Genomic DNA, 25272 nt, shown 5'->3' on the forward strand with positions numbered 1-25272 from the left:
AAATTAGCCAGGCGTTGTGGTGCATGCCTGTAGTCCCAGCTACTTGGGAGGCTGAGGCAGGAGAATTACTTTAACCTGGGAGGTGGAGGTTGCAGTGAGCCAAGATCATGCCACTGCACTCCAGCCTGGGTGACAGAGTGAGACTCTCTCAAAAAAGAAAAAAAAAATAATAGAATGTATCACATTACCTGACACATTATCTGAACCTCTTCTTAACCTTCCAAACTTATTTTTCCCTGAAATCATGAAACAAATTTTCCTTTGGCATTCAAAAATTTCTTATAAACACAAGGTTGTAAAGTACATATATTTTAGGATGGTATGTAGATGTAAGTGGAGATGGGTCATACACCTTTGGATTAACTCGAAAATAAAAAGACAAAAGCAAGAGTGTTTAAATTAGAATATAAAAGTGAAAGTAGAAAAGAACAGTGGAAATTCAACAAAAGTGGAAGGAAAGCAAAGTAATCAAGCAGCAGTTTCAGAAAAGCAATCTGTCATGCTGAGTTTGGGCAGTTTCATGGGAAGCCTTTGCCAACCCAACAAGAAAGGAGGAAACTAACATTTGAATAGCTATCATGTCCAAAATGTTTCATCAGATGCTTTCATTCAGACCACTTAACACAGAATAATTGTTATTTCCAATCTGAAGATACAGAACCCCCAAATCAGAAAGAATATTTAGCTCACTCCAAGTTCATTTGAGCTGAACTTTATCTGAAGCCAAAGTCCATTCTCTTTCCATTACCAAGCTGCCTTGCAGTAAATAACAGGCTATTTCAACAAAGGTCTATTTCATCGCTGAAGGGAAAAATTACCAAATGGCCACTGAAAGAACTCAAGGATTTAAATGAAGAACTTATCAACCAGGAGTTCTGGTATGAAACTGTACTATAAAAATGAATTCATGTTGCTAAAGAACTTAAGTGGTTAGTACCCTGTAATCCCCTTGCCGATTTTGAAAATTAATCATTTCTGTCCACTTTCCTCCTTCTTCACAATTTCTCTCTCCAGACCATGTGGAGCTCATCTCATCTCAGTTTTTGCATATGTTACTCTTTCTGCTTGAAACACTTTTCCTCTCCAGATGGCATCAAGGGTGCTCCTGCTCAACACCAAAGATTTACTTTACTTTAATGTCACCGCTACAAAGTCACCTGTTCCTGCAACTACCCCTATTAAGATAGCATTCCTATTCTCAGAGAGCACTTAACACTGTATGAAATTGTTCTATTTGTTTAGGGTTTTTTGCCTTTTCCAAAAAGAATATAAATTCCTTGAAAGGATCTTGTCTACCCTGTTTCTCCAGCACTTAAATTATTCTTGGACAGAGTAGGCCCTCTTCAAGTATTTATTGAGTACATGGATTGCAAGTGGTACAAAGTGAGACTAAAATGTATCACTGGTAGAAAAAACTTGTGAGAAGCTACCAAAGAAGCCAGAGAAAGACTGCGTAGGAGTTACAGTGCCTACCACCTCTAAAGCAAAAGGAAACAAAATAATAATATGCAAACACTTAAATAGTGCTTATTCCATGCCAGGCACTGTTCTAAACATTTTATGTATATATTAACTCATTTTTATTCCTCAGAATAAATAGGTTTCTCACTTCCCCTGCTTTGTTTTTGTTTTTGTTTTTTTTTTGCCGGTGAGTAATGTGAAGCACACAGGTTAACTTGCCCAGGGTTATAGTAGTTAATGATAGCCTTAAAATTTGAACCCTGGCAGTGAACACTTTTTAAAACTACTATTTGATACTGCCTCTCCAAAAAAGCTGAGTGGTTGGCAGCATGGCCCCGCTAAGGCTTCTCTGTGACCGTAAAAAAAAGTCTATCGACTTAAAATAACTGGAGAGGGGATAAGAAATAAACGGTGCATTTACTTTCAGTCCACAGTAGTAGTAACATCGTTAGTTACTACGTGCGAACATTCTCCATTCTCATCAACTTCTCAGATCCCACAAGATTTCACCTTTGGCCACAAAAACATCCCATTTCACCAATTTATCTTTCTCCCCCAACCCTTATGCCGCCTCATTCCAGTGTTTGTTCATTTAATCTGCTCCAAATCCTGCATCTGCGGCTTTCCAGGGACCAATGTCAACTCATCTGTGAAATTGCAGAAGTACATGTCTAGTCTCCACCCCGTGAGAGGACTGAGCAAAGGGTGAAGTGTGCGAGCGGTCTACTGATAATAATTTCTATCACTCTCATGGTTATTTTAAGTATCCTTTTCTCCTCTGCACTTTATGAGAAAAGAAACGGAACTTCACGTTCAGAAACGGCCTCCCAAAGCCGCAATGGCTTCTCGCAGCTCGCTGGCCTTCCCCAATCACGCTTTGAGTCTGCGCAGTAGCTGCAGCCCAAGCCATTTCCCATTTTTCCGCCGCCGCGCCTTGATGACGTAATTTTCCTGCGCCTCGGGGCGAGCAGCGGCGCGCAAGGAAAGATCGGGTTCCGTTTTTCCCGCGGATTCTGGTGCCTGTGGGGCCGGTGACCCAACACCATGAAGGAAACGCCACTCTCAAACTGCGAACGCCGCTTCCTACTCCGTGCCATCGAAGAGAAGAAGGTATGGTTTGGTGCCCGCAGAATTGCGCGCTGCGTGGGCGCTCGGGTCTCAAGGTGTGGACTGATACCTGGCCCGCCTGGGCCCGGGGAGCTACTAGGGGAACGACCGGCACGTTCACCCCATCCCTCAGGCTTTATTTATTTTTTTTCGACAGGTTCTTTTCAAGGCTCCAGTCACCGCAGCAGTTGTCCATGCTGTAGTTTCCACTTTCCTGTATGGGCGGGCTGGTTAGGATTCCACTTTCCCCCAAGTGCTTAGCCCAGGGCCAGACAAAAAGTAGTTGCTTAAGAAATACTTGTTGAAGGAATAAATTAATGAATGAATTTGTGCTTACAGCGGCTGGATGGCAGACAAACCTATGATTATAGGAACATCAGGATCTCATTTGGAACAGATTACGGATGCTGCATTGTGGAACTTGGAAAAACAAGGTAACAGGATTTAAATGAGATACACATTCGGAAGGGAGAAGTTTGAAAAAAGACCTTATTGACTTGGTTGTTTATAAAGCAGCTAAGAAGTCTGGACAGTATTCTTTGTTTAGCTGACAAAAATAAGTATTTTTTTATGCGAGATTTTTTGCTTTTGTGGTCACACTTGAACTTTTTAATCATAAACGTATTTTCTGTCACGTATCACATAGTTCTTTTCTGACTTCTATAAATCGTATAGACAACTAGTAGTGATCATATGGAATTTGTTTCTCACACTAATATAGAGATCTTGAGCATCTTGTCATTAAGTGTACATCCTGCTTTCTTTTTCCTGAGTGACATGAAAATTAGGTTTTCAGATATTCATTTGAAAGTTGTGAGGCTATTTGGTCACATAATGGTGGTGAACTATGCCATGTGAAAACCTTTAAGAAATCTCAGGTTTTCATGCCATCTTGTATCAATAAATACTTGCTTTAGAGGTAAAGGTCACTGATTTTTAAAACAATCTGTGGAATAGTAAACATTGTAATAAGAAGAGAGGTGTTTTTTCTGTCGTGTTTTTAGTTGTACCAATTTATGTTTTATTTCTGTGTATATTATACTTTACATATAATTTTTATCTCCTATGATTTATTTGGCTGAGTATGATATTACTCACATTAAGATTGAAACTTGTTATCTGTTTCAGTTTTTTGTTTTGGAAGGAGAGTCTATTTGGTTAATACTTTGTAACTTTATCTTTGCAGAGTTCTTGGACAGGTTTCCTGTGAACTTGTGTCTCCAAAACTCAATCGGGCAACAGAAGGTATTCTTTTTTTTAACCTTGAACTCTCTCAGATGGCCGCTCCAGCTTTCGAACCTGGCAGGTATTTAAATCTTTTTCTTAAGTTGCTTTAGTCATAGGAGAACCTAACAGCAGTGAGCTTTTGTTTTAATACCTGGTGTTATATTTCATGACATTAGCCCATTCCTATTTTCTCCTTATAGGCAGTCAGATCTCTTGGTGAAGTTGAATCGACTCATGGAAAGATGTCTAAGAAATTCGAAGTGTATAGACACTGAGTCTCTCTGTGTTGTTGCTGGTGAAAAGGTGGGGAATATGCCCATAATTCTTAATCTTAGGATGAATACTGTTGATCATGGATCCCGGTATCTATCCTTTTATTCTCAGAACTTTAGTTAACTCAGTATTGTACTGGTTTGCTTCACTTCAGATGTTCTTGAGTGATACCCTTAGAACTTTGTGCTACCTCTCTCTCTCTGAAGGGACAAAAAGGGTGTCCCTTCAGAGGACACCCTTTTTCTTAAAGGTTTCTAAAAGGTTTTCACCCTTTATCTTAAAAGGGTGAAAATAGCAACTTAGATTTTTGTGTAAAAATATTTTATTCAAAGAACTTGTGGCTTTTTCATATAATCTCTCATTTTCTACATGAGTTCATAGAAGCAGGTAGTTTTCCTTTTTCATGCAGAACTCAAGAACAGATGAAATCCTTCATTTGGATAGGTTTATCGATTTACACAGGGCCACACCATGTCAGTGGCAGGGATAACTTTGAAAATCTTAGTCCCAATAAATTGTGCTGCATTAGGATATTAGAATTTTATTTTATTTTATTTTGTTTTATTTTTTTGAGATAGAGTCTCACTCTGTTGCCCAGGCTGGAGTGCAGTGGTGCAATCTCAGCTCACTGCAACCTCTGCCTCCCCTGTTCAAGCGATTCTCCCACTCAGCTTTCCGAGCAGCTGGAACTACCGGCGCCTGCCACCACGCCCGGCTAATTTTTGTATTTTTAGTAGAGATGGGGTTTCACCAGCAGGCTAGTCTTGAACTCCAGACCTCAAGTGATTCACCTGCCTTGGCCTCCCAAAGTGCTGGGATTACAGGCGTGAGCTACTGTGCCTGGCCAGAATTTGATTCTTGATTAGGGTATTTTGACAAGCATTTTCATCCCAGAGAAGTCATTTAGCTTCCCATATTCCATACCTAAGCATAATACTTCCTATTTGCATTACTTGTAAGGTTATTAAAAATATCACAAAACCTAAAAGTTTAATTTTTTTTAATTTTTGAAAACTTTCATTATTTTCTCTGAGGGACAGGGTGACACTCTCGTCCAGGCCGGAGTACAGTGGTGTCATTATAGCTCACTGTAATCTTAAACTCCTGGGCTCAAGAGATCCTCTCTCCTTAGCCTCCCGAATAGCTAGGACTATAGGCGCGTGCCACTCCACCCAGCTAACTAAAAAACTTTTTTTTTTTTTTTTTTGTAGAGATAGGGTCTTGCTGTGTTGCTCAGGCTGGTCTCGAACTCCTAGGCTAAAGCAGTTCTGCCACCTTGACCTCCCAAAGTGCTGGGATTACAGGTGTAAGCCACTGTGCCTGGCCTAGAGTTTGTGGTTTTTAACAGACATGATAAAAATGTAATTAGATTTGAGGTTAGGAAAATCGTAGTATTAAATGTTAGAGTGGTTCTGTTTATTTAAAGTATGTGTTCTGTTGTTAAACGACCCACATAGTATTTCAGATGTTTGGCTTAAATTTTCTAAAATATATTTTTTGTTGACAAAGTACAAGGAGTAACTGCGTGTTTTAACAGCAAGAAAAAATAATTTGTACACAATGTTACTTTTCCTGATAAATAGCCACTGGTTGTAATCAGTTAGGATTTATTTTTATTTTAAATTCACTATCAGGTTTGGCAAATACGTGTAGACCTACATTTATTAAATCATGATGGAAATATTATTGATGCTGCCAGCATTGCTGCAATCGTGGCCTTATGTCATTTCCGAAGACCTGATGTCTCTGTCCAAGGAGATGAAGTAACACTGGTAAGCTCCTATGTGAACCAGGATCCTTGATATGAATGAATGAGGAGGGTCTTAAATGTGCAGGCAACTTGTTTTTAGTGAAGTTATGTTGTAGATGGCAATTGGGTCGTTTCTAAAAATTTGTTTGTAAGACTGAAACTGCATATGGTCAAAATTGCCCTGGAAATCTCTTAACCGTTCCTCTGTTGAAACATTTGTCAGTAAGAACATACCCTAGCCTGGTTTTCCAGAATAGAATTAGATGACTATTTTGGATTGAACATTAGATGAAGTGGTTGACTTATGTTTAGGGGCCATATGTGTGAAAAATACATGAATCTCAGCACAGTGAGATGCTTACCCTGCAAGAGGCATGCAATAGCTGAAAAGCACTGAGGAATCAGCAGGTTCATATTTGTCTCCAGGACTTTTGTTCATTAGGCAAAGAGATGACGAAAGTCCATCAGAAATACCTGGAGGGCTTGTTAAAACGTATAGCCAGACTACTCCCAAAGTAAAACAGGGCTAGGACTTAAGATTTTGTACTTCTAACTTTGAGTTCTTAGGTAATACTGATGTTGCTGGTCCAGGGAGCACATTTTGAAAACCATTGACCTACGTTGTCTTTATCTTTTGTTCTGAGTATGTCAGTTTTGATTTATATAAATTACATGCTAGAATAGTGAAAGTGCACTGTAGTTGTAGTTTGAATCCTGAAGTTGCAAAAGGACACATCAGATGCCCAGATTTTCTAAGCAATGATTCATAATTTTGATTTTGGGCAGTAGACTGAAGCAGAACCATTAAAAAGTGAGAAATAGGGACAAAGGTTTATTAACAGTAGAGGTAATATTCTTTTAGAGGAGGGAGTTTATATAAGGAAGTGAAAAAAAGTAGAAAGCGATTACTACACTTGAAAAATCAATTAAAGAATACTGTGGTGTTATTGCTAGTGGGAATGTAAAATGGTACAGCCATGTTGGAAAAGTTTGGTAGCTTAAGTTTTAAGTGTAGACAGCATTCTATATTCAGAAAAATAACAGTAGAAGAAAATATTCTTTTTTTTTTTTCTTTTTTTTTTTTTTGAGACAGGATCTCACTCCGTTGTCCAGGCTGGGGTGCAGTGGCGTGATCTCGGCTCACTGTAACCTCTGCCTCCTGGACTTAAGCAATCCTCCCACCTCAGTCTCCTGAGTAGTGGGGACTACAGGTATGTGCCACCCACTTGACTAATTTTTGTATTTTTTGTAGAGATATGGTTTCACCAAATTGCCCAGGCTGGTCTCGAACTCCTGGGCTCAAGTGATCCTCCCACCTTGGCCTCCCAAACTGTTGGGATTACAGGCATGAGCCACCATGCCCAGCTGAAAACACTCTCTTATATGTACATCTTTCAGCAGGTTTGACCTTGTAATTTTTTTTTTTTCTTTTGAGACAAAGTTTCACTGTTGTTGCCTAGGCTAGAGTACAATGGCGTGATCTCGGCTCACTGCAGCCTCCGCCTCCCGGATTCAAGCGATTCTCCTGCCTCAGCCTCCCAAGTAGCTGGGATTGCAGGCATGTGCAACCACGCCTGGCTAATTTTGTATTTTTAGTAGAGACAGGGTTTCTCCATGTTGGTCAGGCTGGTCTTGAACTCCCAACCTCGTCCACATCGGCCTTCCAAAGTGCTGGGATTACAGACGTGAGCCACTGCCCCCAGCCGACCTTATAATGTTAAAACAAACTGCAATGGCTTAAAATTAGAAAAAAAAAAAAAAATTCTAGCAATTCCATGCCTAAGAATCTACGGGAGGAATAAGAGCTTACTACGTTCAGAGACTTCAATGCAAGTGTTCATAGCATCATTTGTTAGCCAGAAACTGGAAACAATCCAAATGTCCAGCTGGTGAATAGATAAAATGTCATATATACAAATAATGGAATGCTGTTCAGTAATGAAAAGAACTGAACTACTGATAAATGCTGCAAGGTGCATGAAACATGCTAAGTTGAAAGAAGCCAGGCACAAAACATTACAACTTTTTTTTTTTCCATTTATATAGAATGCTCAGAAAGTCAGATTTATAGAGACAGAAATAAGATAGATCAGTGATTCCTTGGGGCTAGGGTGGGAGTACACCAGACTCCTACGGACTACAGACAGATTCAAAGGAATTTTGGGGAGTAATGGAAATGTTAAAAAACTAGATTGTGGTGATGGGTCCGTAAATGTATCCATAACTATACATTTACTAAAAATTGAATCATATACTTAAAATGAGTGGATTTTGGCTGGGCGTGGTGGCTCACACCTGTAATTCCAGCACTTTGGGAGGCCAAGGCAGGTGGATCACCTCAGGTTGGGAGTTCGAGACCAGCCTGACCAACATGGAGAAACCCCGTCTACTAAAAATACAAAATTAGCCGGGCGTGGTGGCACATGCCTGTAATCCCACCTACTTGGGAGGCTGACATAGGAGAATCGCATGAGCCCAGGAGGCGGAGGTTGCCGGGAGCTGACATCTTGCCATTGCACTCCAGCCTGGGCAACAAGAGTGAAACTTCATCTCCAAAAAAAAAAGTGGATTTTATGGGATGTAAATTATGTGTCAGTAAATTTTTGAAAAAGCTTTTTGAAAAAGTTGTACAGTTTGAGGAACGTGAGTGGCAAAATCAAACTGGTAATTAATTAAAAGAAGTTATTTAGGTACTCAAAAGAATAAAGGAACTTCATTTTTTAGTATTTGATGTGCAAGATGATTTTTTTGGATGTTCATAACTTAGTGACTATAATTATTAAACATTTTCTTTTGAAACAGTATACACCTGAAGAGCGTGATCCTGTACCATTAAGTATCCACCACATGCCCATTTGTGTCAGTTTTGCCTTTTTCCAGCAAGGGTAAGCCTCGCCTTATTATGGGCCAAAATTACAAATGCAGCTAGGAATTTTATTGCTCTACTCAAGTATGTCATGTTAATATTAAACAAACACTTCCCTTAATAGTAAAGCACCTTGTATTTCCTTTCTTTCTTTGTAAGGGCATTAGTTGGCAAAGAACTTTCTCAGTAGAAGTAACAAAACTCTTATACTTTGATGAAGATACTTCCCAACATTTTTCTTTTCATGGGATACTTATAAACTTAGGAATTTACTATGGCATGGTAGTGTTTTATGTTTCCTAAGGCTGTACAGTGGTTAAGAGAATTATATGCTAGGCTCTAATTTGGGACAGTGGGGTGAGAATTACTGTGGGTTATTGGAAGATAGGGGACTTTGGAACATATTAGATGGAGTAGTTCTAGGAGTCGGTTACAAGGGGGGATGGTTCACAGACTGGAGGAAAAAAATCTAATGTTCTTAAGTTTTCCAGCGTTTTCATTACTTAACTGCTAAATCCTCCTGTGGCAGAAAACTTGGAGTTTTTCAGGTCCATTTAATGGTGCTTTCAAATGAAAACTTGAGCCTTAAATTCCTTTAGAAACAAGGGAAGATAAAAATATTTCACACAGTGTTGTGCACAAGGACTAGAGAAACACTTACAAGTTTTAGTGATTGTAAGTGTAGAGTTTTATCAGAGGAAAATGGGCCAGCATTGTCCAGTAGAAATAAAATGTGAACCATATATATAATTTTCTTATTTTCTTCTTTTTTTTGAGATGAGGTCTGGCTTTGTTGCCCAATTTGGATTTCAGCAGCGTGATTTTTGCTCATTACAACCTCTGCTTTCTGGGCTCAATGAATTCTTCAGCCTCAGCCTTCCGAGTAGTTGAGACTACAGGCATGCACCACCATGCCTAGCTAATTTTTGTATTTTTTTTGTAAAAAAGAGGTTTTGCCATATTGCCCAGGCTGGTCTGGAACTCCTGAGTTCAAAAGTGATCTAGCTACCTCAGCCTCCCAAAATGCTGGATTACGGGGATGAGCCACCATGCCTGGCTGTTTCTTTTTCTTTTCTTTTCTTTTTTTTTTTTAAGACAAGGTCTCCCTCTGTCACCCAGGCTTGAGTGCAGTGGCGTGATCATGTTTTATTGCAGCCTCAACCTCTCAGGCTCAAGTGATTCTCCTGCCTCAGCCTCCTGAGTAGCTGGGACCACAGGTGCACACCATGCCCAGCTAATTTCTTTATTTTTTGTAGAGATGGGATTTCACTACGTTGCCCAGGATGGTCTGAAGCTCCTGGGCTCAAGTGATCCGCCTATCTCCACCTCCCAAAGTGCTAGGATTATAGGCTTGAGCCACCATGCGCAGCATTTGTTACTTTTTAAATTTTTTTTTTATTTTTTTGTGACAGGGTCTCACTCTCACCCAGGCTGGAGTGCAGTGGTGTGATCATAGCTCACTGCAGCCTACTTCTGAGCTCAAGTGATCCTCCCACCTCAGCCTTCCAAGTAGCTGGGACTATAGGTGTGTGGCATACCCAGCTAATTTAAAAAAATTTTTTTTGTAGAGACAGGGTCTCACTTTGTTGCCCAGGCTGGTCCCAAACTCATGAGCTCAAGTGATCTTGCAGTCCTGACCTCCCAAAGTGCTGGGATTACAAGCATGAGCCACCATGCCTGGCCTCATATGTGTAATTTAATATTTTCCAGTAGTCACATTAAAAAGGTAAAATTAATTTTTATATATTTTTAATTAATATATTTTCACGTTAATGAAATAAAATGATTAATGAAATAATCAGTATTTTAATAATTACTCATGAGATAGTCTACATTCTTTTGTTTCCACTAAGTCTCTGAAATCCAATATTTTACATACTCTGATTACATTTCAAGGGCTCAGTAACCACAGGTGACTATTGGCAAATGTACCGGACAGTGCAGAAATAGACAGTATTTTTTTCATGAGCCATTAGCAGAACGCAGTAGAACTTTGGAGTACAGGACATTAGGGCAACTTTAGGGTTAACCAATTTAACATTATCTAAGTTTTTATTAATGAGCCAGAAGTCATTTAATCAAAGAGATAGCATTAGGTTTAGATTATATATCATTTAAGTAAATCCAATCTGAACTTAATGTGATTTCATTGTAATAACTAGAGATACCCACTTAGCATTCATTTGTGTTCATAAACACAATAATTTTCTTGTCTCTTTCCCCATTTCAGTGACCCAAATCCGTAGGCTCAGACCTTTATTCTCTGTTGACTTTATTGATGCCATCTTTTAAAAATTCATTACCCAAGAAATGGTAAGCATTCGGTCTCAGATTTGTTCAGGTCCATTTAACATTCATTTCAGAACATATTTATTGGTGGATCCCAATGAACGAGAAGAACGTGTGATGGATGGCTTGCTGGTGATTGCCATGAACAAACATCGAGAGATTTGTACTATCCAGTCCAGTGGTGGGATAATGCTACTAAAAGATCAAGTTAGTGCTTTGATTAATGTCCCATTAATAATAGGTTGCTTCTCTTTAGATGCTTTTTCTTGTCTTTTAACAAAAATCCAATGGGGATACTTCCAGTGATTTATTCTAGGATGTGTTAGAATCTGGTTTCAGTACTGTCACTATTAAATACATTCTGTTGACTGGTGGCTATGAGGTATCCTCCTCCTTCCTACCTTGGTGCTCCCGTGTCTGGCCTGCTGGAGTCTGACCCTTCCACCTAGAAGCAGGGTCTAGTGAAGAAAAAGATTTATATCCCTATTAAAAAAAAAAAAAAAGTGGCCGGGCATGTTGGCTTACGCCTGTAATCCCAGCACTTTGGGAGGCCGTGGCTGGTGGATCACTTGAGGTCAGGAGTTCAAGACCAGCCTGGCCAACATGGTGAAACCCATCTCTACTAAAAATACAAAATTAGCTGGGTGTGGTGGCTGGCGCACGCCTGTAATCCCAGCTACTTGGGAGGCTGAGGCAGGAGAATTGCTTGAATCCGGGAGGCAGAGGTTGCAGTGAGCTGAGATCGTGCCATTGTTCTCCAGTCTGGGCAACAACAGCAAAATTCCATCTGAAAAAATAAAAAATAAAATAAATAAATAAATATTAGCCGAGCTTGGTGGTGCATGCGTGTGGTCCTGGCCACTTGGGAGGCTGAGGTGGGAGGATTGCTTGAGCCTAGGAGGTGGAGGTTGAGTGAGCTGAGATCGTGTCACTGCATTCCAGCCTGGGCTACGGAATGAGACCCTGTCTCAAAAGCAAATAAAAATTTTTAAACATCCAATAGTAGACATTATGTAAAAAGATAGTTTTACTTGCACTTTTAGAACTACAATTGGCAGTAGTTCTGAAACCCAGCTATATATCATATTCACATGGGAGCTTTTAGAAAATAGATCTCCATATAGCATACAGTGTAGATGATTAAAAGCTTCTTTAGTTTGAATTCTAGTTCTGCCCCCATACTAGCTGATCTTGGGCAAATGATTTTATATCTTTGGGTCTCACTTTCTTTATCTGTAAAATAGGGAATGATGTTATTGCCAACACCTTGTTGTTATAAGGATATAAATATATTGCACAGTGTCTAGCACACATTTATTAAGTGTGCAATAAATGTTAGTTTCTGGTATCATCATCATCATCTTTACCAGCATCACAAGTACTACCCAGATTACCCACAGAAAAAGGAAGTTAGTGCATCCTGGAGCATATATGTGTCTGTGGCCTCTTCTGTGGTATCTTTTATACTGTTGTATAAGAAAGTTTTTATGTCTGTTCCCTTGATGTGACAGTCCTTCACATATCTTAAAACAACTTTCACATCTTGCCTTAATCTGTGTTTACATTGTATTCATGTTTGGAAAAGTCAGGCTTAAATTATAAAGGTAGAAAAATTTCATGGTTTTAGTTTCATTAGAGAAAACTATTTGGTTTATTGTCTTTAAACAACAGAATTCACTTTTATAAATAGGTTCTGAGATGCAGTAAAATCGCTGGTGTGAAAGTAGCAGAAATTACAGAGCTAATATTGAAAGCTTTGGAGAATGACCAAAAAGTAAGGTAAGTAACTTTTCCAGAACTAAGTGGTCTTTTATTTTCATTTTTTAAATTTTTATTATTTTTTTTAGTATAAGCAAGCTTTATTATGCATGAACTTGATTTCACATACAAAGTTAGAATGGCAATTTCAATTAAAATTGACTCATTAAAAAGTGTAAATACCATGGTATAGTTATGTTACCCAAAACTCCGAAAGGTAGTGAAACTGGTAACAGATATTGCTACTCATCTTTGGACGGATACAATAAAAGTATTAATGAAACTGGTTCCCAGACAAGTATGTGTCACTTGCTCCTGTGCCTTAGGGAGGAGAGGATGTTATAACACAAGCATTATTGATGCAGTGACTTGTGGATAGTTGCTCCTTATTAACACTGCTAAAATTAGGTTCACGTTTTTTACTTTGTGTGGGAGCTGGTGATTCTTGTCCTTTTGTTTTATGAGGGATATCTTTCAAAGTGCTGGCATCAAACCCACTTATTGCAAAATGCATCACAGATGGGAATTTAAGTCTGGGTCAAGTCCAGAATTCTAAAACAATAAAGAGGAAAGACCCTCCTAAGAGCAAGAGGTCTTCATTAATCCAGACTCCAAGATACAACACAGGGAACAGGAAATGGCCCTAAATGGTCTTTTAATATATTTTTTTTCTTAAGGATCTTCCTTGAACGAGGGCAACCATATAAATTTCACACTTGATCTTTCCTTATTTGTTAATCTGAATTGAGTATACTATTTAATGTGTTTTTAGAAAATTGGACTTGTTATATTTTCTGCAATTTAAATGTAACCTATATTGAAAAATCATATAAGATTTTTGTTTGTTTTTTGAGATGAAGTCTCACTTCTCACTCTGTCACCTAGGCTATAGTGCATTTGTGCAATCTCAGCTCACTGCAGCCTCCGCCTCATGGCTTCAAGTGATTCTCCTGCCTCAGCCTCCCAAATAGCTGAGATTACAGATGCATACCACCATGCCCGGCTAATTTTTATATTTTTAGTAGGGATGGGGTTTCGCCGTTTTGGCCAGGCCGGTCTCAAACTCCTGACCTCAGGTGATCCACCCGCCTGGGCCTCCCAAAATATTAGGATTACAGGTGTGAGCCACCGTGCCTGGAGACATAAGATTTTTCTTTAGCAGTTAACATTTTCTTAGGATAAAAATAATCTAGTAACTCAAATTAATGGAAGGAAACAGGTTGATTTCCATCTCTACCTCTTACTGTGCTATCTTAAGCAAGATACATAACCCAGCATTTCAGTGTCCTCTTCTATAATATGGGATATTAACACTACCTGGTAGGGCTGATTTGAGGGTTAGAGAATAGTATATTTTAAGCACCTAGCACATGGTCTGGCACGTGGTTTAATAAATGATTATGCTAACTATTTACTCTTGTTAGGCATAATAAATTGGTGAGGTTAAGTTAGATAAACTAACTCTCTTCCAATATTTTTCATCCACCAAAGGATAAAATAATAGTTTTTTTCCCTTCCTGTCTTCTATCCAATCTGTTACCTTCCTCCCCCTTCCTTCCCACCAAAAAAACCCCCACATACAGGAAAGAAGGTGGAAAGTTTGGTTTTGCAGAGTCTATAGCAAATCAAAGGATCACAGCATTTAAAATGGAAAAGGCCCCTATTGATACCTCGGATGTAGAAGAAAAAGCAGAAGAAATCATTGCTGAAGCAGAACCTCCTTCAGAAGTGTATCTTTATTTGGTGGTTTTTGCAGTAACAAGATTCATAACACTTGGCATTATAATATTAGGCTATATGAAGGATGTGTATACTGAAATTAGTTTTTGTAAACACTGTACTTTGTTAGAGAAAACACTTAAAATACAAGATAGAGATGTGAGTCATATTCTGTTGATGGTATAACATTCAGCTTCTATTCAGTTATCCTGGAAAAAACAGATTTTAAGGACCAATTTAATTTAGTACTATAACTAAAATGTTGAGAGAATCTGTCTCTTCACATTTCTTATTAATTGCATCCATAAAATCTTGCCTGAGTTTTTTTTCTTCTTCATTGTTCAGCCATCCATAGTGTAGCTATATTAAGTTTTTTTTCCCCTAGGAACTTGGGGCACACTTGAATCAATCTTACAAGAAGAAAACTTTCATTCTCATCTTCAACAGTTCATCAAATAGCAATATTTTTGTTACTCAGTTTTCTTAACTTGTTAAGTGTTTCTACACCTGTGCTATGGACTCCTGGAACTGCCCAAATTGGAGAGGGAGTAGAAAACTCCTGGGGTGATCTTGAAGACTCTGAGAAGGAAGATGATGAAGGCGGTGGTGATCAAGCTATCATTCTTGATGGTATAAAAATGGACACTGGAGTAGAAGTCTCTGATATTGGAAGCCAAGGTAGGTGACACTTTATGGCACACTTACTATATATTACATACATATAGTATTACCGTATAGTTATATATATAATGCATAAAATGTGTGTATATTTATATTATCACTGTATATAGTAATATATAGCATATTAGCTATATAGAGATGTATAGTGGATAAATAACATACAGGATACTATATAGAGAGAATATAGATATGTAGTTATATATAGGGATGTAAGTATTGCATTTTTAGAGGGGCTAAATATTGTGATTTAAATTTCAACTAAATTATTGTGGCTAGCTGCAATACTAATGCTACTTTCTAAAAGAATATGCATATCTTTGTAGAGTAGTGGAACACTGGCATAAATGATAGTGATATTTTTAATTAAAAAAATTTTGTGTGTGTGTATGTATGTGGGTGGGTTTTAAGGGAATGAGTTTCTTGAAGATCTTATTCCTCCCTGCTGTCTTTTTTTTTGTAGTTTCTAGACTGAAACAAAAAGCCCATCCCATATCATAACATATAATACTGCCTAAATAAAACTTTCTATGATGATAGAAACATTAAGTATCTACACTGGTATAGCAGCCACTAGCCCCACATGGCTAGTGAACACTTGAAATGTGGCTTGTGTTACTGAGAACTGAATTTTAAATTTTACTTAATACAAAATTAAGCAGCCACATGTGGCTAGTGGCTACCATGCTAGACATCGCAGTATTAGAACATAAAAAAATTCTATAAGTAACTAGAATACTGGTAGTCCTAGACGTTTCTTGCATTCTGAAAGCCATAGAACTGAAGTTGTTATGTATGGTTATTTCTACTTTTTAAAAAAAGCAAATTCTTGCTGGTCTATATAATAGAATGACTTATTTTCTTACGTGGTAAGAACAGAAATCCTACAAGGAACTGGGAGCTAGGCTGGCAGGGAAAATTGAAGGTGATGTGTTTAATAGGAATGTAATGCAAATACTTCTGTTTTCAAAGAGAGAAATTATTGCTTATGAACATTACTGGAGCCTGGGCTTTTTGTTTTTTTACTTAAGTAAATAGGTAAGGAAAAAATTTCCCATTGATTGGGACCCTTACTCAAATTTCCCAGTGGTTACTTCTATTTGGTATTATTCTTCCAGAACTTGTTCCAGGTATTTATTTACTCTCTGTGCAGTGATGTAAGCTAATGCTGCATATACTTGTATAGCATTGAATATAACTAGTTGGTTTAACAATTCTCTTATTGTTGAAGATGTAAGTTGTTTCCATTTTCTCACTGTTAATATCCTTGCACTTGCATATACCTCTTATATGTTTGTTTAGTGTATTCTTCTAACAGTGAATAATATTTTCAACTGAATATAATGAAGGTGGACCTAAGCATTGGAAAAATGGAGCAGGTACAGCCTTCCTAAAGCATGTGAACAAAGGGAGAAACTAATTGAAAACTAAAAATACAAATAATTGATATGGGTTAATTCACATTTTATGTATATCATTAACTAATAAGCAGGAGAAAAATGGGCAAAATACATGGAGCAGTTCTCAAAGTATACAATGGCCAGTAATATTTTTCATGGTCAGCCCTGACAGTAATACAAATAAAATCCAAAGAAAAATGACATGGCATTTTTTGTTACTGTATTTTGGGCAGTATTAAAAACACCAGCAATGCCAAAGGTATATGGGAAATGGGTTCTTTTATTTCTTGGAATGTAAACTGGAACTATTTCTGGAGGAATAGAGTAGCACAAACAATTCAGTTGTCTCTACAAAAGATGCTATATACATTTCCCCCTAGCTTTTCTATTATGACATGTACCAAATTGTCACACCATTCAAGCACCTGTAGGAAATAAGAGTTTAAAGAAACAAATGTTACAGATGAGTTCTAGAGTGCTCTAAGAAGCTGATTTAAAGAAAAGATTAAGCCTCCACCTAGAGTTTTATTTTTATTTTTTGGGATGGAGTCTTGCTCTGTCACCCAGACTGGAGTGCAGTGGCACTGCAACCTCCACCTCCATGGGTTCAAGCGATTCTCATGCCTCAGCCTCGAGTAGCTGGGCCTACAAGCACATGCCACCACGCCTGGCTAATTTTTCTATTATTTTTAATAGAGCTGGGGTTTCACCATGTTGGCCAGACTGGACTCGAGTTCCTGACCTCAGGTAATCCACCTGCCTCAGCCTACCAAAATGTGGGTATTAAAAGTGTGAGCCACCACGCCCAGCCCCAGAAATAAGAGTTTAGAACGTCTGATAGAAATAAATTCATGTAGAAATAAATTTTGCAAGAGATTGCTTAACTTTTTTTTTTTTTTTTAAATTAATAAAAAAACAAAGATGCTCCCATAATACTCTCAGATAGTGAAGAAGAAGAAATGATCATTTTGGAACCAGACAAGAATCCAAAGAAAATAAGGTAACAAATTTCTGGTTTATTTCAAATGTATACATATACTCAACACTTATAGAGGTTTGCTCTCTGGTTTTACTCTCATCTTGCCACATGACTATAAACAAAAAGACATCCCTTTTTCATTAGAGATCCATCTGTTCTGTGATTTTTTTACCTTGTGATTTATAAAAATTAGGACCTAAATCTATAATATAAACTTCTTGGATGCCAGTCTTACTCATAGCTGACACATTTTAGATCCTACTGGAAAACTAAGAAATGCCTCTTATTTCAATAATCCAAAACTTAACATACTCTTAGTAAATTCTTACTTTGCTTTATTCACAGAACACAGACCACCAGTGCAAAACAAGAAAAAGCACCAAGTAAAAAGCCAGTGAAAAGAAGAAAAAAGAAGAGAGCTGCCAATTAAAGCTAACAGTTGTATATCTGTATATATAACTATTAAAAGGGATATTTATTCCATTCTGAGAACCCTGGGTATTTTTTATTCACAAATCCATTATAAAATCTAGCAGGATTTTAAAAATAGTTTTTTGTTTTTAATGTGCTTTAAAATAATAAACCTTCTGGAGCATTTCTCGTCTGTTAATTTGCATATAAGCTTCCCACCCTCTTCCACTCCCAACCTCTGTTGAGTTTACCTCGCAAAACCTAAACAAACAGGTTTTACAAAGAGCGAAAAAGTCTGGGGAATCTCTACTGTATCTATCTCTGAATACTGTATTCAGATATGCTTAGATTAGATTATGCCCAAGTCAGCAAATTGATCCAGTTGCTTAGGAAAATGAATGTCAGAATTTGAGGGTCTGTTTTCCTAAACCTACTTTAATTTTAGAGGAAGGCTTTTCACTTCCCATTATATAGTAAACCAAGTAAACTTCTTTACTAAGCAAAATCCTGAAGAAGTTAAATTTGACTTGCAAAGTTTTCCAAATCAATTTATTATCCTGACAGCTGGCATCATTAATACTTTAACAAAACCACTTAAAATTAGCCAAATATCTAAGACAGATACATATACAAAAGATATACAAATTAAAACCATTTAAAAAGTAATAGATACCATAATTTGTACTTGGCCACAACTTCTGTATTCAGAAATGATTGTAAAATTAAAACCTAAGTTAAAAACTGTACACCATATACTTTGAGTGATTTACATCTTAGAAAACAAAGGCAGTCTTTCATTGTTACAGATTTAGTGTCTCTGGTGGGTTGAGGAGAGAAACACCATGATACCTGTAAGTAGGGAAAAAAAAAGCATTTTTAGTAAACACTCACTGGGTAAAGGAGATCATGGAATAATGTTTGTACTCATGTATTGGGAACTAAAAAATGCTATTTCTGTCTGACCGACTTGATGGTTTTAGAAACACTGTCTGGTCCCTGAAACACACATGCATGCCCCCTTCCTTCTCTCTTCTCCCCCAGACCCAGGGCAGAAAGCATGAACTACAACCTTCTTCAAACACATAACCAATTTAGAGAACAGCTTCTCAAGGAGGCTATGGCAGATTCATGAATAAGGTTAAAATGTCAAAGATCTCTGAACCATAATCTAGAAAAGTAAGCTTCAATATCCAAGTTAATTCTTACTTTGAATTTTTGTACTTTTCTCTTATTGACTGTTGTGCATGCTGTGGTGCTTTGAGGTAGGTCTGGTGAAGGTCCATGAGACAAGGCTTAAGACTTTCCAGGGTATATCCAGTCTTTCGTATTAATGATTCAGGCTACAGAGAAGGGAATAGAGAACCCCTGAGTTTTGCTTTTAGTAACACACCAAACACAGTAAATAGTTGGCATTAAGCTTATGTTAAATTCCAGTACTAATCTTTAACTTTTCCAACTACTAGTTTTCTCAGGCCATTATTCCATCCCTCGATCCATTTTCTACTACTTTCCCTGCCAGCAACAGGTCAGATGCTTTTAAAAAAGCTCACCTTTCAATCCAAGTTACAACTAAGCTTACTACCTAACAAACACTGTTCAACAGGTAACATGCCTTAAACAGTATATAATCATCCCTCAGTGTACATGAGGGATTGGTTCCAGGACCCTTCCCAAATATACCCAAATCTGTACATATTCAAGTCCTGCAGTCACCCTTCCATATATATGGGTTGTGAATCCCCTGAATACTGTAGTTTCAGTCCACATTTGATTGGAAAAAAATCCATGTGTAAGTGGACTCACACAGTTCAAACCTGTGTTTTTCAAAGGTCAACTATATATATTTGAAGTTTTTCCAAGTAAGAACATCTAGGCAACCCTCAGTTTTGTAGGACAATTATTATTTAATCTGGCACAGGCATTTCAGTCACAAGATAGGTGTGTGAAGACCGTAATACATACCCAGCTTTGTCCCGTGACTGTGTAGAGTGCTAAATGAAAGGCAGCTCCAGCAATAACTGATGGCAAATACTTGAGGTATGGGTCAGCATCTATCAAACTTAATTCTCCCAAAAACTGGAATAAAAAATACTTTATGATCACAAGAGCGTTTAGAATTCAAATGTCAAACCTCTGCCTTCTAACCTAATTTTTTCCTGCCTTTGATAACGGCTCTGTAGCAACTCTAGAAAAAATATCTCACAGCCTCATCTTTAAACATATCAATCATTTTAGTGTTTTGTTCCATCCTCATCCTGTATTTTCCCTCCTTTATTAACTTTTAAAAAACAACTCTTCTGACTACCCATCCCCAAGATGTCATCCTTAGACCTCTGCTTCTAGTGCTTTCCTGATATAGATTATCTTTTGCCAGCAGTAGGCTTTCTTCCATACTGCAGCATTAATCTCCCTCTGAATACTAAATCTCTTCACCACTGCTGTACAAAGGAACTAGGTTCCTTTACAAAGGAATTAGGGCTTACCCCTAATTATTACCAAAGAATCACCATTCAACAAAATGAAAGTTAACTCACCATTGCTAAACTTTCAACTTTGCAGTTTGCAGGCTGCTGATGCAGAAAGTATTGGGTAAGAAACTGATTTACTGTTGGAGCAGCTAAGTCAAAAGTAAGGACTTTCAAAACTAGATGCTCCATTCTCAGAACTTGTTTCTTGGTGTAGGTATCATCTGTAATGTACACAAACTCTGCTACTTCTGGGGGGTATATTTCTTCAAACTTTCTACAATGAAAAAAGTTTTAAGTAATCAGTCCTAAAAGAGAAGCAAGCTTCCTTATCCCAGTTCTGAAATCCCATTAGCAGAATATGGAATGAATCCAAAATCCACACCAACTGCATTTCCAGACACTTGATCATCATTTCTAGTAGAGACTGGATAGCTAATTGCTAATTAAAAGGCCCAAATCAATAAAGGACTTTTGAGATATTTTCCCCAGTTCAGTCAAAGGAAGTAAATGAAAGGCATGAGACTTCTCGAGATGGGAACAATGCCAGAGTTCACCAAGTAGCTGAAAATTTAGGAAATACAAGTCTTAGGAAAACATGTTTCATGTTTTCATTTTTAAATTTAGTTTTTCTTTCTTTTTTTTTTTTTTTTTTGAGACAAGAGTCTTGCTCTGTCGCCCAGGCCAGAGTGCAGTGGTGCAATCTTAGCTCGCTGCAACTTCCACCTCCTGGGTTCAAGCGATTCTCTTGCCTCAGCCTCCCTAGTAGCTGAGATTACAGGCATGCATCACCATGCCCAGCTAATTTTTGTATTTTTAGTAGAGACAGGGTTTCGCCATGATGGCCAGGCTGGTCTCAAACTCCTGACCTCAAGTGATCCGCCCACCTCGGCCTCCCAAAGTGCTGGGATTACAGGCGCGAGCCACCGCACCCAGCCTTTACTTCTTAATAAAAGAGACACTGCTTATATGCCAGAAAGTAATATTGGAAGGAAAATGTTTTAAAATTTGTAACCTAGTGTACTATATCATGTTCAAGGAATCCAGTTGGGGGAAAATTAGTGTTCTAGATTAGAACAGTTTCATCCTCCTCCACTGCCCTAAGCCCCAGCACATTGCCATCCCTAAAGTAGTCACTGACTCTGCCTGGTGTATGTTAAAAGGTCACCATTAAAAAAATCAATTTCTTCCCTAGACAAAAGGTCGTGATCACTTTTAAACAAACCAAGGTAGACTTACGAGGCTAACAGCATAGCAGCAGTGCCCACAAGCTGAAGTTTTCCTCTCAGCACTGACATGGAAGACAGGAACCTATCAATGTAGTTCACAGCCAAATGCAGGGTCTCATTCTGTAGTTTATATTCTTCTCCTACTTCAACTAACCAGTCCACGAGGATAGCTCTCATACTGTTAGTGATGTCTGGCTGTTTCTTCATGTAACCCACTTTAGGTTTACATTTAACCTATTGAGAAAATTATTTATAGTGTTAAAATTATTCTAGTGTAAAAACTGCAATTAGATTATTTTACCATTAATTACGAGAGGCTACATGCTATAAACTTAACTGTAGCATTAGAATAATTCATTAGTTTAAAAATTTAAACATTATCCTCTCAATTTCATTTAGCCACATTTAACAAATACATTATACAAACTGGATTCAGAGAACCTTTACCTCCATTTCCCTAAGGTATGTGTGAATATCCTCATGGTAGTCTGGTACTTCATTAACACTCACTGGCTTTTCATCTTCTAATATAATTGACATGTCCATAGTATGTGGTGACTCTGGGACAATTCAAAAGATATGATTAAATTAATTGTTTGCCTATTTAGTTTAATAGCTAAAAATGACTGCCATGGAAGGAATCTCATATTAACAAAGCACTTATTTCTTCAAACTAAAAAGAGCTTCTCATGACAAAATATGTAGAATATTTTACCCTAGTCTCAGTATCTCTGTACATAGAACTTTGGAATGATTTTAGTTAATGAGGGAAAAAAAAAAAAACATATTGGTAGGCCCCTAACAGGAAAATGAGAATCAGGTATTATCTTAAAGTATCCATCTTCCACAACAGAAAGGAGCAAATGGCATGGTGGTTCTGTTAGGACAGAACACTTTTAAAATCCAAGTTTTGAGATAATATCTAAGATTTGTCCCAAGAGAAACTGCAGATCCCAGAGTCTGACATATATAAAGCACAAGTAGGCAATAGCTAGCATCAGTTAAATGGCCTCTATTAACAAGTGTTATTAAGAAATTAGGTTTGTTATGGGCAAATGGATTAACACTATAAATAATTTATTTTTTGTAGTATAAATTATTTTGAAGCAAAGAGTATCATCCATTATTCCTTTCACTTCAAAGATCACCTTGAGATTAAACATTTTCTGCAAAATTTTGATAAAAACACACAAATTATTATTTCCAAAGGACTTTTCCTGCTCACCCCTCCTTCCTCACAATCAATACAACTAAAACTAAAATGAGATTGGATTTAGTGAGCTGTCCAGTGACTCAATATCCCTAGGGCAAAGAAATAGTACAAACTGCAAAGAGCTGTTTACAGAAGCTACTTTAATACATGGGTAAGAGTAAACAGCCATGGTACAACTATTTACTTGTAGGAGGAAAAGTGTCACTTTCTGGTATCAGATGCTAATCCAGACTGGTTTTATAGAAACAAAATTATAAAACTGGAAGAGACGTTATGTAATCACAATATTTAAGACTGCATCTTCAAATAGCACTAAGTGATATATAAGTGAGTTAAATAAAACTGAAATCTATTCTCCCAACCAAGAACACATTTATGGGATCAGATTAAAATAAGCATTTAAGATCTAATTATAATTAGATTGATGTGACTGGCAGTGAACCTGAAAGAGCACTGGATAAGGATCTTTTTGTATGTCACCAAGTCAAGTGTTAGCTGTGAGATCTGAGATAAGTCACATCCTTTCTAAGCCTTGTTACATTAAACCTAACTCACTATAGTCAAAATGACTACATAAGACATCTTAAAATGCAAATCATTAATATCATCTAATAATTATAATTACCGTAATTCCACACAGATTTTCCTTAAAACTTACCAAAACTACCATCCATTGGATAATCAAGAGGGACCAATGGTTTTCTGGGTCCAGGTAAACTAATGGCTGAATTAAAAGCCAGGGCATCTTCACGCTCTATTTTTTGAGATTCAGCTGGCTTCTTCTGAGCTTCTTTTTCTGCTTCATCCACATGAATGGTGAACGCAGGCTGTTTACTGTTTGCTTTCCAAGGAGGAACGGTGACATGCTCATCATTTACAGGAAGATCCTTAAGGGGTGCAACCTAAAAAAAAATTAATAACTGGCTTTGAGCCTACTAGTCTTGCATTCTTTCTCTTATGGGTGTTGGCCTTTGCTTTTTCTCCCAAATACTCTATCAGGAATTAAACTTTCTGGGACAAAGAAGAGTTTCAGTATTCAAAAGAGAAGGGATGTTCCCATTTGTCACAGGCATTCCCACAAAGGCTATCAATAGATAACACTAGGTGGAATTATGCAAAACTTATCAGGGCCACAAGAAGGGTCGGGTGACAGGCCAATACGTGACAAGTTTAGGAAAGACAGCAAAAAAATTGTTGGTTCACCACTGTCGCCCGAGGGTGGAGCAACAGAGCAAATCCGGCTAAAATGGCGGAATTTGCCAAAAGCAAAGTATTTTGTACACGCTTTTCTAAAGTAGAGGTCATCTCTTAAGCGTGAGGAGGATAGGGGTCAGAGTCCTACAGCAGTGCCTGGGGTTTAAAAGTGGAGAGAAAGGCGCGGAGCTGAGCGAAGACTACACGTTTTAGAGCTTGGTTTGACCCCATTATGTACAGGCAGATGCCCCCTATAGAGAGCAGACCGGCAGCATACACACAGTGTTGGCGGGGTCCTGATGCTAATATGGGAGAACTCCTACTGTGGCAAACCACACACCAGCACCAACTGCACTCCAGACCCTGGCCCCCTTCCAAAAGCCCAGGACATGCCTTCTCGCCACTCTTCTCTGCCTGCTAAGCCAATGCCAAACCCTGCTCGACCCACCCTCCTGCAGATATCCCGCATCCCTTTACCCGTCTCGTCTTCGGCCTCTGCTGCTGCGCTAGACCCCGCGGGTTCCCGGACTTCAGTACCGCCAGCGCGGCCCGGGTCCGCGGTTGTTGGACGGGCGCTGCCTTTTCCGGGTTGATATTCTCCTGGTCCTCTTGGAGCGCCGTCTGCTGCAATGCTAGCAGCGCCGAGCCCGCCTCGCGGGTCGCAGGCCCCGGCGCAGAGTTGCCCAACATCACTGCTCCCGGGAGTGGACGGCGGGATCAGCCTGCGGCGCCAAGCAGCGTGCACTCTGCCCAGCCGACCACTCGCACCGACCCGGCCAAAGAATAGTCGTAGCCGCCGGTCGCAGCCCAGGCCAGCCTACCAGCCCGCCCGCTCGCTCACCCAGCTCGAGACCACGCAGGGCCGAGGAGGTTGCGAAAGGCGCAGGCAGGCACTGCCCAGCGTGGCGAGCCAAAGACGCCCAGAGATGCAGCGAGCAGCCCGCCGGAGCGGCGGCTGTTCTTGCAGTTCAAGTATCCCGCGACTATTGAAATGGACCAATGAAAGCGCTCGCGGCCTTGACGTCATTCAAGGCGACAGGGTCGCAGGCGAGTGAAGGGTAAACCAAAGGAAACTGAGCAGGGGCGGGGCAGGAGGGAGAAACAAACTGGCTGGGGCGGGAGAAAACGCCTGCGCGGGGCGGGGAGAGGTAGGATTTAGGGCCCGACGCTTCCGATTATTTTAAGCTGAGCCACCTAGTGAGCGAGGCTGTCCGAAGGCTGACTCTAAGCCTTTTAGGGAATTAAACGGAATT

The 25272-nt window shown here is 38.8% G+C and overlaps 2 protein-coding genes across 5 annotated transcripts, besides 5 other annotated features; one reads left to right on the plus strand and one right to left on the minus strand.

The window, feature by feature from the left end:
- Positions 1593-2396: an enhancer, noted in NCBI's record as "NANOG-H3K27ac-H3K4me1 hESC enhancer chr4:122721667-122722470 (GRCh37/hg19 assembly coordinates)". NCBI's record gives its function as "activates a minimal SCP1, AML or CMV promoter by ChIP-STARR-seq in naive H9 embryonic stem cells {active_cell/tissue: H9 hESC(naive)}" and the evidence as "EXISTENCE:reporter gene assay evidence [ECO:0000049][PMID:30033119]".
- Positions 1593-2474: a biological region, named in NCBI's record as "NANOG-H3K27ac-H3K4me1 hESC enhancer GRCh37_chr4:122721667-122722470".
- Positions 2205-2474: an enhancer, noted in NCBI's record as "active region_21869". NCBI's record gives its function as "activates an Ori minimal core promoter by ATAC-STARR-seq in GM12878 lymphoblastoid cells {active_cell/tissue: GM12878}" and the evidence as "EXISTENCE:reporter gene assay evidence [ECO:0000049][PMID:35858748]".
- EXOSC9 (exosome component 9) lies at positions 2404-18102 on the plus strand. Of its 4 annotated transcripts, NM_001034194.2 has the most exons (13): positions 2404-2571; positions 2908-3002; positions 3755-3874; positions 3996-4098; positions 5703-5840; positions 8621-8703; positions 11048-11180; positions 12664-12752; positions 14315-14461; positions 14947-15128; positions 17225-17275; positions 17450-17528; positions 17853-18102. In NM_001034194.2, the coding sequence occupies exons 1-13, from the start codon at positions 2506-2508 to the stop codon at positions 17935-17937; spliced, it is 1371 nt and encodes a 456-aa protein (NP_001029366.1). In that variant the 5' UTR covers positions 2404-2505; the 3' UTR covers positions 17938-18102. The 4 variants fall into 4 exon arrangements, 3 of the variants coding, with proteins under 3 accessions (NP_001029366.1, NP_005024.2, XP_011530337.1); XR_007057929.1 differs by lacking the exons at positions 17225-17275; positions 17853-18102 and adding an exon at positions 16431-16507 and having other exon boundaries at positions 17450-17524; NM_005033.3 differs by lacking the exon at positions 17225-17275.
- Positions 17525-24964, minus strand: CCNA2 (cyclin A2). The gene is made up of 8 exons (NM_001237.5): positions 24497-24964; positions 23484-23727; positions 22060-22172; positions 21623-21846; positions 20453-20660; positions 19881-19994; positions 19125-19258; positions 17525-18767 (listed from the first exon to the last, which is right to left on the minus strand). The coding sequence occupies exons 1-8, from the start codon at positions 24707-24709 to the stop codon at positions 18719-18721; spliced, it is 1299 nt and encodes a 432-aa protein (NP_001228.2). The 5' UTR covers positions 24710-24964; the 3' UTR covers positions 17525-18718.
- Positions 24503-24552: an enhancer, noted in NCBI's record as "active region_21870". NCBI's record gives its function as "activates an Ori minimal core promoter by ATAC-STARR-seq in GM12878 lymphoblastoid cells {active_cell/tissue: GM12878}" and the evidence as "EXISTENCE:reporter gene assay evidence [ECO:0000049][PMID:35858748]".
- Positions 24743-24812: an enhancer, noted in NCBI's record as "active region_21871". NCBI's record gives its function as "activates an Ori minimal core promoter by ATAC-STARR-seq in GM12878 lymphoblastoid cells {active_cell/tissue: GM12878}" and the evidence as "EXISTENCE:reporter gene assay evidence [ECO:0000049][PMID:35858748]".

The sequence above is a fragment of the Homo sapiens genome, chromosome 4 (genome assembly GCF_000001405.40).
Source record: "Homo sapiens chromosome 4, GRCh38.p14 Primary Assembly".
NCBI classification, from domain to species: domain Eukaryota; kingdom Metazoa; phylum Chordata; class Mammalia; order Primates; family Hominidae; genus Homo; species Homo sapiens.

Bases quoted from the DNA above. Each gene is read 5' to 3' on its own strand.
- EXOSC9 (NM_001034194.2), top strand. From the start codon at position 2,506: ATGAAGGAAACGCCACTCTCAAACTGCGAACGCCGCTTCCTACTCCGT. The intron at 3,003-3,754 runs GTAACAGGATTT...TTATCTTTGCAG, and splicing joins GTGGAACTTGGAAAAACAAG to AGTTCTTGGACAGGTTTCCT. The intron at 5,841-8,620 runs GTAAGCTCCTAT...CTTTTGAAACAG, and splicing joins AAGGAGATGAAGTAACACTG to TATACACCTGAAGAGCGTGA.
- CCNA2 (NM_001237.5), bottom strand. From the start codon at position 24,709: ATGTTGGGCAACTCTGCGCCGGGGCCTGCGACCCGCGAGGCGGGCTCG. The intron at 21,847-22,059 runs GTAAAGGTTCTC...TTTTCTCAATAG, and splicing joins CATACCTTAGGGAAATGGAG to GTTAAATGTAAACCTAAAGT. The intron at 18,768-19,124 runs GTAAGAATTAAC...CCCTACTTACAG, and splicing joins GAAAAGTACAAAAATTCAAA to GTATCATGGTGTTTCTCTCC.